The sequence below is a fragment of the Homo sapiens genome, chromosome 20, assembly GCF_000001405.40.
Source record: "Homo sapiens chromosome 20, GRCh38.p14 Primary Assembly".
NCBI classification, from domain to species: Eukaryota; Metazoa; Chordata; class Mammalia; order Primates; family Hominidae; genus Homo; species Homo sapiens.
In genome coordinates, this window is record NC_000020.11 from 35821026 (window position 1) to 35839485 (window position 18460).

At 43.9% G+C, this 18460-nt stretch overlaps 1 protein-coding gene across 6 annotated transcripts in view, besides 1 other annotated feature; it reads left to right on the plus strand.

Annotated features, from left to right (window-relative positions):
- Positions 1 to 18460, plus strand: part of PHF20 (PHD finger protein 20) — a 178356-nt gene that overhangs the window by 49011 nt on the left and 110885 nt on the right. The window lies entirely within an intron of this gene.
- Positions 16649 to 16849: a silencer, noted in NCBI's record as "peak4203 fragment used in MPRA reporter construct". NCBI's record gives its function as "represses an SCP1 promoter by STARR-seq MPRAs in K562 erythroleukemia cells {active_cell/tissue: K562}" and the evidence as "EXISTENCE:reporter gene assay evidence [ECO:0000049][PMID:32103011]".

Below are 18460 nucleotides of genomic sequence, written 5' to 3' on the forward strand. Positions count from 1 at the left end.
GGTGAGCCCAGAAAGGTCAGCAGGGGCCAGATCGGCCATAATAAGGAGTTTGGACTTTATTCTAAATGTGATAGTAAGTCATTGAAAGGTCTTAAACAGGGAATCAATGTTATCTGATTTCAAGTATTAAAAGTGGCTGTGGGCCAGGTGCAGTGGCTCGCACCTGTAATCCCAGCAGTTTGGGAGGCCGAGGTGGGTGGATCATTTGAGGCCAGGAGTTTGAGACCAGCCTGGCTGACATGTACTAAAAATACAAAAAATTAGCCTGGAGTGTTGGTGGGCGCCTGTAATCCCAGTTACTCAGGAAGCTGAGGCAGGAGAATTGCTTGAACCCGGGAGGTGGAGGATGCAGTGAGCTGAGATTGTGCCACTGCATTCCAGTCTAGGCAACAAGAGCGAAACTCTGTCAAAAAAAAAAAAGGGGCTGTGAGCCTAGGCAATATAGCAAAACGCTGTCTCTACCAAAAATACAAAAAAAAAAAAAAAAGCCAGGCATGGTGGTGTGTACCCGTGGTCCCAGCTACTTGGGAGGTTGAAGTGGGAGAATCACTTGAACCTGAGGGGCAGAGGTTGCAGTGAGCTGAGATGGTGCCACTTCACTCCATCCCAGGTGACAGAGCCAGACCCTGTCTCAAAAAAATAAAGTTGCTGTGGTTATTGTGTGTAGAATATGCTGTAGGCAGCCATGGGCAGAAACAAGAAGAGCAAGGATCTTTTGTATTAGTCCATGTGAAAGATGATAGTTGTTTGAACTAAAAAGCAGTGGGGGAGTTGATGAGAAGTGATCAGCGTCTGTATAATTTTTGAAGGTACAGCTGACAGATTTGCTGACGACATGTAAGAGATAGAGAAGAGTCAAGGATGACTCCAAGGGCTTTTTCTCTCGGTACCAGTAGATGGAATTACCACATGCTGAAATGGGGTAGACTTCAGTAGAACTAGGTTCTAGGGAGATGATAAGCAGTTTGGTTTTGGGCATGTTAAATATATGAGATTCCTTTGAGATGACTAAGTGGAGATGTTGAATGGATAGTTGAATAACAGAGTCAGATGTTCAAGTGTGAGCCCTGGGTTAGAGATAGACATCTGGGAGTTGGGCTGAGTGCGGTGGCTCACGCCTGTAATCCCAGGACTTTGGGAGGCCAAGACGGAAGATCGCTTGAATCCCAAGATCGAGACCAACCTGTGCAACATAGTGAGACTCTGTCTTACAACACATATATACACAAAAACCCCAAGAAACCTAGCTGGGCATGGTGGTGTGAGCTTGTGGTCCCAGCTACTGGGGAGGCTGAGGTAGGAGGATCACTTGAGCTAGGGAGGTCAAGGCTGCAGTGAGCTATGATTGTGCTGCTATACTGTATGATTGTGCTTGGGTAACAGAGCAAGACCCTGTTTCAAAAAAAAAAAGAAAAAAAGTAAAGGAATTTGGGAGTTGGTAATGAGTAAATGGGATTAAAAAAATAGACTATATTTTAGAGCAGTTTTAGGTTCACAGCAAAATTGAGCAGAAAGTACAGAGTTCTGGCTGGGCACAGTGGTTTATGCCTGTAATCCCAGCACTTTGGGAGGCTGAGGTGGAAGGATTGCTTGAGCCCAGGAGTTTGAGACCAGCCTGGACACCATTGCAAGACCCTGTCTCTACAAAAAATAAAACAAATTAGCTGGGGTAGGGGGTGGCTTGCACCTGTAGTCCTAGCTACTTGGGAGGCTGAGGTGGGAGGATCGCATGAGCCCAGGAGTTTGAGGCTACAGTGAGCCATGATTATGCCACTGCATGGCAGCTTGGGTCACAGGGTCACAGAGCAAGACCCTGCTTCTAAAAAAAAAAAAAAAAAAAAAAAAAAAGAATGTATCAAGTTCCCATATTCCTGTGTTCTCCCTCCAGCCTCCCCCACTTTCAACATCCTGCACCAGAGTGGTACATTTATTACAGTTGATGAACCAATATTGACACCTCAGTACCACCCAAGGACCATAGTTTGCATTAAGGTTTGCTGCTGGTGTTGTATTGTTTATGGATTTTGACAAATGTATAATGTATATGTGTATGTTACACATTTATCAAAATCCATATGTGTACATTATACATTTGTCAAAATCCATAAAAGTTACAAAAGTACAAAAAAAGTACAATATTCATAAAAAGACAACTTGATGCTCAAAAAGTTTCGGATTTTGGATGTTTGGATTTGAGATGCTCAACCCATAGTAAAATTCGCTCTTTTTCAGAATACAGTTGAGTTTTGCCAAATTTGACAGTTCACGCAAGCCCCACCACAATCAAGATATGGGCCGGGAATGGTGACTCATGCCTATAATCCCAGCACCTTGGGAGGACAACGTGGGAGGATTGCTTGAGCCCAGGAGTTCAAGACAAGCCTAAGCAACATAATGGGACTTCGTCTCTCAAAAAAAAAAAAAAAAAACCATAATAAAAGTAATAATAATAGCTGGGTGTGGTGGTGTGTGTCTATAGTTTTAGCTACTCAGGAGGCTGGGGTGGGAGGAAGACTGCTTGAGCCCAGGAGGTCAAGGCTGCAGCAAGCTGTGATTGTACCGCTGCACTCCAACTCCAGCCTGTGTGATAGAGCGAGACCCTGTCTCAAAAAAAAAAAAAAAAAAAAAAGGGGTGAAGAAAGAAAAAAAAAGATATAAAGCACTTCTGTTACCCACAGAATTTCCTCATGTCCATTTGTAATCAGCCTCTCCTGGCACCTCCAGCTCCTGTCACCCACTGATCTGTCCTTTGTCTATACAGTTTTGCCTTTTCCATAGTGTGTTATAATGGAATTATTCAGTACATAGCCTTTTGGATTTGGCTTCTTAAACTTAGCGTAATGCATTTGAGACTCACCCGTATTTTTGCATGAGCAAAATAAAGGGTTGTTGCTTTTAGAACCAAGTAGTAAGTATTCCATTGGATGGATATACCACAGCTTATCTGTTTATGTGTTCAAAGACATATGGATTGTTTCCAGTTTTGGGTTAATATGAATAAACATTTATATATAGGTTTTTATGAGAATATAAGTTATCATTTCTCTTGGATAAATACCAGCGAGCTGGATTGCTGGGTCATGTAAGTGTATGTTTAACCAGGTGAGAAACCGCCAAACTTTTTCAGAGTCTCTGTACCATTTTGCATTTCCACCAGGAATGTCAGGAATGTATGAGAATTCCAGTTGCTCTGCATTGTTGTCAGCACTTGGTGGGATTCTTTTTTTTCTCTCCTTTTTTTTTAATTAACTGTTTTAAAAAATTGAGATATAGTTTACATGTTATAAAATTCATCCTTTTAGGCTGGGTGTGGTGGCTCACGCCTGTAATCCAAGCACTTTGGGAGGCTGAGGTGGGCGGATCACAAGGTCAAGAGATCGAGATCATCCTGGCCAACATGGTGAAACCCTGTCTCTACTAAAAATACAAAAATTAGCTGGGTGTGGTGGCATGTGCCTGTAGTCCCAGCTACTCGGGAGGCTGAGGCAGTAGAATCGCTTGAACCCGGGAGGCAGAGGTTTCAGTGAGCCAAGATCACGCCATTGCACTCCAGCCTGGTGACAGAGTGAGACTCTGTCTCAAAAAAAAAAAAAAATTTACCATTTCAAAGCATACAATTCAATAATTCAATGGTTTTCAGTGTATTTACAAAGTTGTACAATTGTCACCACTATCTAATTCCAGAATTCTCATTATCCCAAAAAGAAACCTCATACACATTAGCAGTCAGACCCTATTTCCTCCCTGCCCTTCCCAGCCTAGGCAAACACGAATTTACTTTCCCTCTATATATATGCCTGTTCTGGACATTTCATAGATATGGAGTCATACAGTAGGTGACTAGCTGCTTTCACTTAGCATGCTATTTTCAAGGTTCATCTATGTTGTACGTTACTGCTTTTTGTGGATGAATAATTCCATTATATGAGTATACCATATTTTGTTTTCCCATTCATCAGTTGTTGGGTATTTACAGTGTTTCTTCTTTTTGGGTATTGTGAGTACACATTTGTGTGGACATATGATTTTACATCATATGGGTATATACCTAAGATGGAATTGTCAGATCATATGGTAATTCTGTTTAACCTTTTGAGGAACTGCTAAATTGCTTTTCGTAGTAGCTGCACCATTTTACACTCCCACCAGCAATGGGAATCCTGTTTGTTTTTATTTTGAAGAGATGGGAGTCTTGGTATTGGCCCAGACTGGACTCAAACTCCTGGGCTCAAGTGATTGTCCTGCCTCAGGCCTCCTGGGTAGTTGGGACTGCAGGTGCATACCACCGTGCCCAGCTATTTTTTACATTCAATAAGAAGTAAAATTATCAGCTGAGACTGAGATCAGGACAGGGAGGGCTTAGGTTTGAGGAAAGAAGATAAGGTATGAAATATTTAGGAGTTTGCACTCCCTCCTCAGGCTCCACTTTACTCAGTAGCTAATGACAGGCCTCAAACTCCTGGCCTCAAGTTATCCTCCTGCCTCGGCCTCCCAAAGCACTGGGGTTACAGGTGTAAGCTACCATGCCTGGCTAAAAACTTTTTTGATATTAATTTTCCTGGCTCCTTAAAGGTATAAGACATTGAATTAAGAAGAGTGCAAAATTGCTACTCTATAATTAGGTTAATTATTTTTAGAGAGAGGGTCTTGCTTTGTTGCCCAGGCTGGAGTACAATGGCTATTTACGAGTGCCATGAAATACACTACAGCCTTCAATTCTTTGGCTCAAGCAGCTCTCTTGCCTCAGCCTCCTGTGTAGTTGGGATTATAGGCATGCACTATAGCACCCAGCTCTTACACTTTTATTTTAAAAATACTTTTTGTTGAGTTTTAATTTATAGTAGAGTGTATAAACCCTAAATGTGTAGCTTGATGAACTTTTACATATGTATACACTTCTATAGCCACCACCCAAATCAAGATATGGACCATTATGGGCACTCCGGAAGCTTTTTTGTCCCTCTCCTACCCCCAAAGAGAATTACTGTTTAATACCTGTTTGCAGATATGCATTTTATATATGTATGTATGTGTGTTTGAGACAGTTTCGCTCTTGTCCCCCAGGCTGGATGGCAGTGGCACGTTCTCGGCTTACTGCAACCTCCGCCTCCTGGGTTCAAGTGATCTCCTGCCTCAGCCTCCTGAGTAGCTGGGATTACAGGTGCCCGCCACCACACTCGACTAATTTTTGTATTTTCAGTACAGATGGGGTTTCGCCATGTTGGCCAGGCCGGGCTCGAACTCTTGACCCCAGGTGATCTGCCCGCGTCGGCCTCCCAAAGTGCTGGGATTACAGGTGTGAGCCACTGCACCTGGCCTAGACATGCATTTAAAGTGAGACCCATCAGCATGTTGAGTGTTTTCTCTAGCCACATTTAGCTGTCTGGGTACAGGAATGGAGAATGTGGAGTCTGAAATAACCAGGGTTGGGTGGCAGTTGTGATGAGGAAGAGAGTCGCCAGTAATTTGAGGGCATATGCAAGGAAGTGAAATTAAAGAATGAGAAGATTTCCAGGAAGAGAGTGGCAGGGGGAGAAGGCAGAAGGAATAACATCAGCAAAAATATTCAGGGCTTGAAAGAACTTGGTGTGTTCTGAGAATCCAGGGAGGTAACAGGAGTGGTGGGAGATTGAACTGAAGAGTGAAAATTTAAGCAGGAGAGAGACATGTTTTGATCCTTCTTAGTAACAGAAAATTGGCAGTGTTCATTCTGTCATAAGATATTTGCTGAGTGGCTCTGTATCAGGCATTCTGCTGGGTACTGATAGAAGGGGTTTAGGGGTGATGTGTACATACTGACTGTTCAGTTGTTGCTGGTAAGAAATGATTGAGATAGAGAGGAAAGATAAATTTAAGACCTTTCTTATATCAGATGTTGATTAATGGAAGTGGTGAAGGGGTAGGGAAAGAGTTAAGGCATTCAAAATAGCAGTTTTTCTGCAGTTTAATAGTCAGCCTTTTGTTTTTTACTAAATATATCTTCCATCCCCATCTCCTCTCCAGCAAAGGCTGGTGATGGCTTAGAATGTTCCTTTTGTGCATAGAAGTATTTTGCTTCTGGTATGTGCCCTGAGCCAGGAATAGAGGCAAGCTCTGATTTTTTTTCGCTCTTGTCGCCCAGGCTGGAGTGCAATGGTACGATTTTGGCTCACCGCAACCTCTGCCTCCTGGGTTCAGGTGATTCTCCTGCCTCAGCCTCCCAAGTAGCTGGGATTACAGGCATGCGCCACCACGTCTGGGTAATTTTCTGATTCTTGAAGTAAAATGAGTGCTGTATGTTTGCAGACAAACTGTTTATATAGCAAAGAATCTGGAAGCAGTCTGAATGCTTAACCTCTGGGGGAAAGTTAAGTCAAATTCTGGGCTAGCCACGCAGTTAAGTAGACTATTACATGGCTAAGACAAAAGACACCCATGTGGATGTGGTGACTGCAGGAATGTTTACATGTGGAGTCCAGTTAAGAGCAGAAGGCTCATAGCCGGGTGCGGTGGCTCACGCCTGTAATCCCAGCACTTTGGGAGGCTGAGGTGGGTGGATCATGAGGTCAGGAGATCGAGACCATCCTGGCTAACACGGTGAAACCCTGTCACTATTAAAAATACAAAAAATTGGCTGGGCGTGGTGGCGGGTGCCTGTAGTCCAGCTACTCGGGAGGCTGAGGCAGGAGAATGGTGTGAACCCGGGAGGCGGAGCTTGCAGTGAGCCAAGATGACGCCACTGCGCTCCAGCCTGGGCAACAGAGCGAGACTCCATCTCAGAAAAAAAAAAAAAAAAAAGCAGAAGGCTCTTCACCGGGTTTAGAGTTAGATGTAGATATCGATCTTGATTGTGCCTCTTCCTAGTCATTCTCTTTGAGGCTCCATTTCCATGAATGTAAAAAGGGGGCAGTAATAATAATGACTCCTTAAGTCTTCATGGCATGATCAAGTGAGATACCTTAGATAAAGATAGTTTACAAACCCTAGAGTAAGCTGCACTCATTAGTTTTATTTATTTATTTATTTATTTATTTCTGAGACAGAGTTTCGCTCTTGTTGCCCAGGCTGGAGTGCAATGGCATGATCTCGGCCCACCACAACCTCCGCCTCCTGGGTTCAAGCAATTCTCCTGCCTCAGCCTCCCGAGTAGCTGGGATTACAGGCATGTGCCACCATGCCCAGGCTAATTTTGTATTTTTAGTAGAGACGGAGTTTCTCCATTTTAGTCAGGCTGGTCTCGAACTCCAGGCTTCAGGTGATCCGCCCGCCTTGGCTTCTCAAAGTGCTGGGATTATAGGTGTGAGCCACCGCGCCCAGCCTCATTAATTACTAATAGCCATGTGGGTGAACACTGATGAGTTGTAGTGGGAATTCGGAAGGAAATTGTCATCCTTTCTGTTTTTTTCTCCCCGGCCCCATGATGTTTCTTTAGTTAGTATTTCTGGTATATAGGGGGGAACAAAACAGATTCCTGCCAAGCACTGTCTGGCTGCTCTAGTTTAAGCACGTGCACGGTATGTAGTATTAGGCAGCTTAATTTTACACAGATGCAGCAAGACTCTGAGCGGCAAGCCTTCCTGGGGCTTAAGGTCATATAGGGCAGGCATGTCAACACTGTTTCCCTGAATTAGACCTGTACTGTTCTCTGCCTTCTGGCTGTGCACATGGAGTCATGCCAGCAGTGGCAGTGCTTTACTGTCTTACAGCCCTCTCTCTCCCTTGGTGGAGCCCTAGGACATGTTGGCTTATCTTGTAGCTTAGAGCAGTGTTTCTCAAACCTGAAAACATGAGGACTGGCACCTCTAACCTATAAACTATTGATAGACTCCATTTCTAGATACCAAAGCAGTCTAGCAAAATGCAACTTTGTTAGCTACTTAGTGCTGTGTAACACATTTTCTCAAAATTTAGTGTCCTAAAACAATAAACATTTATTATTCTCTAGGTGTCTATGGGCCAGGAATTCAGGAGCGGCGTAATGGGGGGTTGAGGGGGCTTCTGGCCCAGGATCTCATAAAGGCTGCATCCAAGGGGGCTCACTCACAGGGCTGGCAAGTTGGTGCTGGTTCCTGACAGGTGGCCTCAGTTCCTTGTCATGTGAACCTCTCCATAGACATCTAGAATGTTCTCACGATGTAGCACCTGACTTACCCTAGAACAGGGAATCTGAGAGAGTGCAGGGCAGAAGCAGCAGTGCTTTGTGTATATGCTTGTGGTAAAATACATACAACATAAAATTTAGTATTTTAATCATTTTTAGGTGTGCAGTACAGTTCTGTAGCGTTAAATACATTCACACTGTTCTGCAACCATTACCAGCCTACTTCTCCAAAATATTTTCTTTCTTTCTTTTTTCTTTTTTTCTTGGTGATAGATTCTCACTCTGTTGCCAGGCTGGAGTGCAGTGGTGCGATCTCAGCTCACTGCAGCTTCTGCCTCCCGGTGATTCTCATGCCTCAGCCTCCCGAGTAGCTGGGATTATAGGCTTGTGCCACCACGCCTGGCTAATTTTTGTATTTTTAGTAGAGATGATGTTTCACCATGTTGGCCATGGCTGGTCTGAAACTCCTCACCTTTGGTGATCCACCTGCCTCAGCCTCCCAAAGTGCTGGGATTACAGGCATGAGCCACTGAGCCTGACCTAAAATTTTTCATAGTGAGATAAAATCTCACTATGTTGTTTATGTTGGTCTCAAACTCCTGGCCTTAGCCGTGCGCCATGGCTCATGCCTATAATCCCAGCACTTTGGGAGGCTGAGGCAGGCATATTGCATGAGCCCAGGAGTTTGAGACCAGCCTAGGTAACGTGGAAACCCTGTCTCTCCTGGCCTCAAGCAATCTTCCTGCCTTGGCCTCTCAAAGTATTGGGATTATAGGTGTGAGCCACCACGCCCAGCCCAAGATTTTTTCTTTTTCTTTTTTTTTTTGAGATGGAGTTTCGCTCTGTCACCTAGGCTGGAGTGCAGTGGTGCGATCTCAGCTCACTGCAACGTCTGCCTCCTGGGTTCAAGCAGTTCTGCTGCCTCAGCCTCCCAAGTAGCTGGGGCTACAGGCGCATGCCGCCATGCCTGGCTAATTTTTTGTATTTTAGTAGAGACGGGGTTTCACCATGTTGCCCAGGCTGGTCTCAAACTCCCGAGTTCAGGCAGTCCACCTGCCTCGGCCTCCCAGAGTGCTGGGATTACAGGTGTGAGCCACCGTGCCCGGCCTGATTTTTTCATCTCTCCAAACTGAAACCCTGTATCTATTAATCAGCAACTGCCTCATCCCTTCTCCCCTTAGCTCCTGGTAACCTCTATTCTGCTTTCATTAATCTGGCTACTCTAGATAACTCAGATGAATGGAATCATGCAGTATTTGTCCTTCAAGTGGCTTATTTCACTTAGCATAAGTCCTCAAGGTTCATCTGTGTTGTAGCATGTATTAGAGTTTTATTCCTTTTTAAGGCTGAATAATATTCCATTGTATGGATATACCACATTTTATCTATTCATGTATTAGACACTTGGGTGGCTTTTTGACTACTGGGTTGTCTTTTGACTGTTGTGAGTAATGCTGTGTGAATTCTGGAGTACAGACATCTGTTTGAGTCCTTGTGTTCAGTGTTTTTGGATATATACCCAGAAGTGGAATTGCTGCAGTGCTTTTTTTTCTTTTTCACATCAACTTTATAGTTAGATAATCCATCACTTTATTAATTCAGAAGTTTGCTTTTTTTTTCCCTTCAACTTTTTTTTTTTAAGTTCTGGGGTACATGTGCAAGATTTGCAGGTTTGTTGCATAGGTAAACTTGTACCATGGTAGTTTGCTGCACAGATCATCCCATCACCTAGCTATTAAGCCCAGCATCCATTAGCTCTTCTTCCTGATATTCTCTCTCCCCTGTCCTGCTGCAGTGCTTTTTATAACCCAGCTTTGGAAGTCCCACACCATCACTTTTGCCACATTCTACTTGTTAGAAATGAGGCCATATTCAAGGATAAAACGATTAAAATCTACCTTTTGAAGGAATAAGTGCCAAATCTGCAGACATATAAAGTTGTCCCAGCTACTATGTGGGAGTGATTTTATAATGCCAGGTTAGTTACAAATATACACACTAAAGTTATTTCTTTCTTCCTTCCCTCCCTCCCTCTCTTCCTCCCTCCCTCCCTCCTTTCCTTCTCATTTATTTATTTTGGGTCTCACTCTATCACCCAGGGTGGAGTTCAGTAGTGCGATCATGACTCAACACAGCCTCAACCTTCTGGGCTCCAGTGATCCTCTCACCTCAGCCTCTTGAGTAACTGGGACTACAGGCATGCATCACCACATCTGGCTAATTAAAAAAATTTTTTTTTGTACAGACAGATGGGGTCTCCCTATGTTTCCCATACTGATCTCAAACTCCTGGGCTCAGGGGATCCTCCTTCAGCCACCCAAAGTGCTGGGATTATAGGCATGAGCCATTGTGCTGGGCTGATTAAATTTTTTTAGAAATAGGGTCTCACTTTCTTGCCCAGGCTGGAGTGCAGTGGTGTTGTGATCATAGCTCACTGCAGCCTCAAACTCTTGGGCTCAAGTGATCCCCCAACTCCAACCTCTTAAGTAGCTAGGACTACAGGCCTGGCTAATTTTTAAAACTTTTTGTAGAGACGGAGTCTTCCTATGCTGCCCAGGCTGGTCTTGAACTCCTGGCCTCCTGCCTTGGCCTCTGAAAGCACTGGGATTACAGGTATGGGCCACTGCGCCCAGCCTTACACACTAAAATTTTCTAGTAGTTCTTGATTATATGGTGGTCATCTGGTATCTCAACGTTCTTCATGTCATTGCCCACTTGTAACCCATTTGTGGTACCTCAGCTGGGAAGCTCTGGTAAAGAGGGTCCAGATTACAGAAAAGCACAATATAATATTCTTCATCCCTCATGGAGACCTTGTGGACCAGCAGCTCTGTGTTCACCAACACGCAGTGGTCCGTGGACTGCTCTTGGCAAACATTCATTTAGGGCTCAGCAGCCCATCCATAAGATCCTCCTGGCCCCTCAAACGGAGTTGTTGTTTCCTCTATCCCCTTGAATTTCCTTGTCCTCTTTTTTGCCTGCTTTCCTCTGTACTATGCTGATTTACTCCTATTACATCTTCTCTCAGAAACTCTCCCCAGCTTCACTGCCTCTTTGATCAGCTGGAAAATGCCTACTCATCTTTCAGAATGGAGATCAAGTGTCTCCTCTTCCCCAGGGTTGTCTTGGGCCCTCCTCTCACTCGATCCCCTTCCTCTCCCTCTCCCCTTTTGCACCTCTGTATCTTACTCTACCTTAAGGAGTCCTCTGTTGTTGCACCTGGTATACTTTATTACAATTATTTGTACCTATAGACATACTTAGATACTTTTATTCCCCCAGACTATACTGTAGTAAGTAAGAGACAGATGCCTCTAGCAGTGCCTGTTGTCTCCTGGGGAAGCAGGCCATAAACACAAACAAATGAAATAATGACAGATTAGGGTAAATGCTATGAAGGAAACATATAGGAAACTGACACAGACTGGAAAGAAATGGGGGCTACTTGAGATAGTGTAGTCAGAGATTCTGAGGCTATGGGAGGATAAGGATGTTGCCTGGGAAGAGTGGGCAGGGATTGTTGTTTCAGGTAACGGGAGCATACTCGGTATGGGAAGGTGTGTGGTGTGTTTGAGGAATTGAAAGTCTACTGTGTGTTGTAACGTAGGGCCTGTCATCCTCTGCCAGTTGCTGTGATCATGCATCTTAATAGATTTGGTTCTGGCCAGATGTGGTGGCTCACGCCTGTATTCCCAGCACTTTGGGAGGCCAAGGCAGGTGGATCACGAGGTCAGGAGTTCGAGACCAGCCTGGCCAACATAGTGAAACCCTGTCTCTACTAAAAATACAAAAAATGTTAGCTGGGCGTGGTGGTGGGCACCTGTAGTCCCAGCTACTTGGGAGGTTGAGGCAGGAGAAACACTTGAACCTGGGAGGTGGAGGCTGTAGTGAGCTGAGATCACACCACTGTACTCCAGCCTGGGTGACAGAGTGAGACTCCATCTCAAAAAAAAAAAAAAAAAAAAAGTAGATTTGATTCTGTATTTCTAAACCCTAATATACTTCCTGGCCCAGAGCAGGTACTCAGAAAATGTTTGTGGAATTATGGTTCAATGAATTTTTCTTCTGCTGATTTCTGTTCATTCTCCTTGTCCTTTTCCATTTGACATTGGCTATACTGGTCTTCTGTGGCTTCTTGGTTGGCTTAGTGACCAGTTATCTGACTTGCTTAAATTAAGCTTATTACGGTAACCTTATTTATTATGAATTTTTGCTTATCTGTCCTTTCCAGGTTGAATTTTAGATGAGAGTTTTTGATGCTTTTTGGCCTTTGGAAAACAGTTTTGTGACTAATTTTGTCATGGTGACCACCATGTGCATATATCCCCTCCAAATTAAGAGTTCCCATACTGGGGTATGTTTGTCCTCTTGACATCTACAACATGAATATCACTGGTTTATTTTGATGATTCATCTTGGTTTGTTTATATATTTCTATTGCTGTTTTGTGGCTCCAGATCTTTTTAAAAATTACATCTGGTGAACCTTTATTGAATGTCTAATATATGCAGGATACCCTGGGGGAGATTCAGACTCTTGATCTCTGAAGGTTTGATCCAAAGGCTAAGTCTTCTCTGAACCCTTTCCCAACCCTCTAGTTAGAAAAAATGGGACTCTGATGAAAAAGTTTAATGTGGGCTTTAGAATGAAGGGTTAAAAAAAATAAAAAATAGACCAGGCACAGCGGTTCATGCCTGTAATCCCAGCACTTTGGGAGGCTGAGGCGGGCAGATCACGAAGTCAGGAGTTCAAGACCAGCCTGGCCAACATGGTGAAACCCCGTCTCTACTAAAAATACAAAAATTGGCCAGGCATGGTGGCGCACACCTGTAATCCCAGCTACTCTGGAGGCTGAGGCAGGGGAATTGCTTGAACCCGGGAGACAGAGGTTGCAGTGAGCCGAGATCATGCCACTGTACTCCAGCCTGGGCGACAGAGTGAGATTCCGTCTCAAAAATAAATAAATAAATAAATAAATAAAAAGGCGGGAGGGTTTATTCAAGTGCTTTAGAAGGGGGCAGGGAAGAGCAGCAGAAACCCAGACTGTCCAGCCTGGGCTGGACATGGAGGAGAGATAATGCCTCTCTTCTGTCTAGTCCTGGTTATGGGATATAGGCAGGCTGGTTCATTCTACAGCTATGGTTTTTTTTTTTTTTTTTTTTTTGAGACGGAGTTTCGCTCTTGTTTCCCAGTCTGGAGTGCAGTGGTGCGATCTCGGCTCACCACAACCTCCACCTCCCAGATAAAGCAATTCTCCTGCCTCAGCCTCTCGAGTAGCTGGGATTATAGGCATGCGCCAGCACACCCAGCTAATTTTGTATTTTTAGTAGAGACGGGGTTTCTCCATGTTGGTCAGACTGGTCTCGAACTCCCAACCGTGGGTGATCCGCCCGCCTCAGCCTCCCAAAGTGCTGGGATTACAGGTGTGAGCCACTGCGCCCAGCCAGCTATGCTTCTTTTTCTCTCCTTTCTTCCTGAGATCCAGAGTGTTCCTGATCTTTTTGCTTGTGGAGAGGAGTGGGAAATCTCATGGAGCTCACCAAACTTCTCTTTGGGCTCTTGCCACCCTAGGGGCTCTGATGATTGGTCATCTATTCTGTGTCTCCAGGACCTAGCAGTTTGTTTGTCTCATAATACAAACTCAGGAATGTTTGTTGAATAATGAAGTTCATAGGGCATAGTTCCTGCCCTGTAAAGTGCTTAGCAGCCTTGTGTTTATATTAGCCATTTAAAAATCTTGTTTGTGACTTGAGTTTGAAACATTTTTGTTGACTCTTGAACTCTTTCTTCTGAGGAAAACTATTGATTTTTGAACATTTAAGTTGTACCTGATTATCATTTCAAACTCTCTTATCAGTTTAGGAAAAATTGACTCAAGAAGAGGTAGGAGGCCGGGTGTGGTGGCTCATGCCTGTAATCCCAGCACTTTGGGAGGCTGAGGCGGGCGGATCACGAGGTCAAGAGATTGAGACCATCCTGGCCAACATGCTGAAACCCCGTCTCTATTAAAAATATAAAAATTAGCTGGGTGTGGTGGCGGGCGCCTGTAGTCCTAGCTACTCAGGAGGCTGAGGCAGGAGAATCGCTTAAACCTGGGAGTCAGAGGTTGCAGTGAGCTGAGAACACGCCACTGCACTCCAGTCTGGGCGACAGAGCGAGATGCCATCTCAAAAAAAAAGAAGAGGTAGGAAACTTGATCAGACTAGTAACCATAGAAGTGATGGGAAAGGTAGATAAAGAACTACCTTCTGAGAAGGCCCTCAGAGTAGGTGGTTTCATAGAAAATGAAATAAAGCATTTTAGTTTGTTGTATGAGATTATCATAGCCTAATACTGAAACTGGGCAGGAAGGGCATAATACAAGAACACTTGGACAGATCTCATTTATAAGAGGTACAATTCTTGTCAATAAAATCCTGGAACACCAAGTAGAGACTTATTAAATGAATGATGCATGAAACCAAATATGATTTATTCTAGCAGAGTAATGATAACTTAAATTTAAGAAATCTATCAGTTCATTATATTTACAGAATAAAAGAGTCCGGGCACAGTGGCTCACGCCTATAATCCCAGCACTTTGAGAAGCTGAGGTGGGTAGATCACTTGAGGTCAGGAGTTTGAGACCAGCCTGGCCAACATGATGAAACCCGTCTCTACTAAAAATACAAAAAATTAGCCAGGCGTGGTGGCGTGTACCTGTAGTCCCAGCTACTGGGGAGGCTGAGGTGGGAGAATCACTTGAACCCGGGAGGCAGAGGTTGCAGTGAGCCAAGATCACACCACTGCACTCCAGCCTGGGCAACAGCATGAGACTTCATCTCAAAAAAACAAATAAAATAAGATAAAATAAAAGAGAAAACTTTTATAATCTTCTTGACAAAGGCTGAAAATTCTAAAAATTTATTATTACCTGTTTTTTAGATGGGGGTCTCACTCTGTCCCCAGAGTAGAGTGCAGTGGCACAATTATAGTTCACTGCAGCTTTGAACTCTTTGGCTCAAGTGATCTTCCTGCCTCAGTCTTCTGAGTAGCTGGGACAACAGGCACACACCACTACTCATAGCAAATTTTTTTTTTAACTTTTTTTTTTTAGAGATGGGGTCTTGCTGTCTTGTTCAGGCTGGTCTCAAACTCCTGGCTTCAAAGTGATACTCTCATCTTGGCCTCCCAAAGTGCTGGGATTATAGACATGAGCCACTATGCCCAGCCAATATTCTTATTTTCCTCTTCTATAACACAAAAGGTATCATAAGATATGCACTATTCTGTAGCTTGTTTTTTAAAAACTTAATGTGTCATGGAAGTCTTTCTGTATCAGTTCATAGAGTGTGTCTTCATTCTTTCTTGTGGCTACATAATATGCCATTTTGTGGGTGTGCCATAGCAGCACATAAACATAATATTCATGAAGCTATCGGTTGATATCTTTAAAAAAGTTTTTTAAACTTTTAATTTGCCGGGCGCAGTGGCTCACGCCTGTAATCGCAGCACTTTGGGAGGCCGAGGCGGGCGGATCACGAGGTCAGGAGATCGAGACCATCCTGGCTAACACGGTGAAACCCCATTTCTACTAAAAATACAAAAAATTAGCCGGGCAAGGTGGCAGGTGCCTGTAGTCCCAGCTACTCGGGAGGCTGAGGCGGGAGAATGGCGTGAACCCCCGGCGGGGCAGAGCCTGCAGTGAGCCGAGATCACACCACTGCACTCCAGCCTGGGTGACAGGGAGACTCCGTCTCAAAAAAAAAAAAAAAAACTTTTAATTTAAAAGTATTTATTTTTTGGCTGGGTGCAGTGGCTCACACCTGTAATCCTAGCACTTTCAGAGGCCAAGGCCAGCGATCGCTTGAGCCCAGGAATTTGAGACCAGCCTGAGCAACATGGCAAAACCCCGTTTCTACAAAAAATACCAAAAAAGTATCTTAGCCGAGCATGGTGGCGTGAGCCTGTAGTCCCAGCTACTCAGGAGGCTGAGGTGGATCACCTGAGCCTGGTAGGTTGAGGCTGCAGTGAGTGGAGATTGCACCACTGTACCCCATCCTGGGTGACACAGTAAGACCCTGTCTCAAAAACAAAACAAGAAACAAAAACAAAAACAAAAAAAACACAAAACCCCAAAAAGTACTTATTTTTTACTTATACAAGTAATATTTAACTAAATTTTTAAAAAAATTCACACTAAAGCAAAAATCTCTTGGTTATTCCTAATCCCTATCTCCTCCTAAGAGCTAATTTTTGTTATTAGTTTGATTATCTGCCCCTTTCTGGCCAGTATTCCCGCTGGTTGGAAATGTAACTCCCAGCTGCAATGTTAGTTTGGAAACTAGAGTCTCATCAGTGGCTCTTAGTTACACAGGGAAGCTAGAAATTCTCTCTTCCTTTTCTGCCTGTACAAATTCCATTCACATCTCTTTTGTTAACTCTGTCTCATCATCTTCAGCCTGCTTTATGGTTGTCCATATATTTAGGTTGAACCAGATAAAATTGCTATTTTGGTAGGTAAAAAGCAGTTGATTATCAGCAATTAAATGTGGTTCAACCTAATAGTTTTAAAGCCTAATCCATTTATGTGTCTAGTTCTCCTCAAGGGCAGGGGCCAGAACACATGTTTGTATAATCCCTTCCAAGACTTAGAATTGGCTGGTCAGATCAAAAGCACTTAATAAATTCCTGTTGACTGATGAAGCTAAGCTGTCGCCAAGGCAGGCAGAGTTGTGATCCACTAAATCTTACCAGGTTGATCTCTAAGATGGTTTTTGCAGCCTCCCTCTTCTCTGAAATGTAATTGGGTCCCCACCGCCGTAAGTGACTTGCATCTTTGTCACACTTTAGGGAAGTGGGGAGGACCACTTAATCTTTGGAAAATTTTGCGCCTTGGCTACTATTGAGCCTCTTGGAGGGGTTTGTTTAGGTCTGCAGAGAGTTGGATATGTGTGCCCAATAAAGTTTTTTTTGAATGAGGGAGAAGCTTTACATTAGCTGAGGACGTAAAGACCCTTCAGAGTGAGTGGAGTTGCTGGCCTAGGAGTTCACACTTGATTCTATGAATCCTGACTTCCGACCAGTGCATATCCAAAAGAATTTAAGGTTTTCCCTGAGGTTGCCAACTTTTAATTTTGCCAAATAAGGACATTTAAAATAAGTATGTAATTATGTACTTTTAATAGTTAATATGTGCTCATGGTACAGCATTCAAAATGTCCAAAAGGATATACAGCAAATAAAATGAGTCTCATGCTTCCTCTCCAGTTGCTTAAAACTATCCAGTTCCCCTTCCGGGAGGCAAACCGGGTTACTTGATCCTCCTTCCCGAGGTAGCCCACGCATTTAAAAACAGGTATGACTGTACTGGCTCTCTCCCTTCCCCCACATAAATGGTAGTGCATTCAAATACTGTTTGACATCTTTGAGTTTACCTCCCACATTTCTTAGAAATCTTTTAAAATCAATACATTAAAAAAATAAAGTAAAATCAATACATAGAGCTGCCTTATTCTTTTTGAAGGCTGTGTGATATTAGGAAGGGTATTAAAAACAGTTGTTATCGTTTTAACTTAGAAGGTATATTTAAATACTAAAAGTTAGAAAGAATGCGATTTCAAGCGGGACGTGGTGGTTCATGCCTGTAATCTCAGCACTTTGGGAGGCTGACGCAGGAGGATACTTGAGCCCAGGTGTTCAAGACCAGCCTGGGCAACATAGTGAGACTCCACCTCTACAAAAAAAAAAACCCAATAAATTAGCTGGGCATGGTGGTATGAGCCTGTAGTCCCAGCTACTCTGGTGGCTGACGTGGGAGGATCACTTGAGGTCAGGAGTTCAAAGCTGTAGTGTGCCATGGTGGTGCCACTGCACTCCAGCCTGGGAAACAGAGCGAGACCCTGTCTCAAAAAAAAAAAAAAAAAGTGATTTCCGTGTAAAGAAAATTTCCTGCCTTAGTCCAAGGACCCTGTGTGAGAAAGCTGTTGCTAGAGATAGTAAACCATTAAAGAAAGTGGTTTGAAGCCAGGAGCAGTGGCTCACACCTGTAGTACCAGCACTTTGGGAGGCCGAGGGGGGCGGATCACGAGATCAGGAGATCGAGACCATCCTGGCTAACATGGTGAAACCTCGTGTCTACTAAAAATACAAAAAAATTAGCCGGGCGTGGTGGCGGGCGCCTGTAGTCCCAGCTACTTGGGAGGCTGAGGCAGGAGAATGGCATGAACCCAGGAGGCGGAGCTTGCAGTGAGCTAAGATCGTGCCACTGCACTCCATCCTGGGTGACAGAACGAGATTCCATCTCAAAAAAAAAAAAAAAAAAAAAGAAAGTGGTTTGAATAGGAATGTGTTAAGACAGATTGTGTTATTTTAGAGAGGTTTACTAGCCTCAGGTAGGCT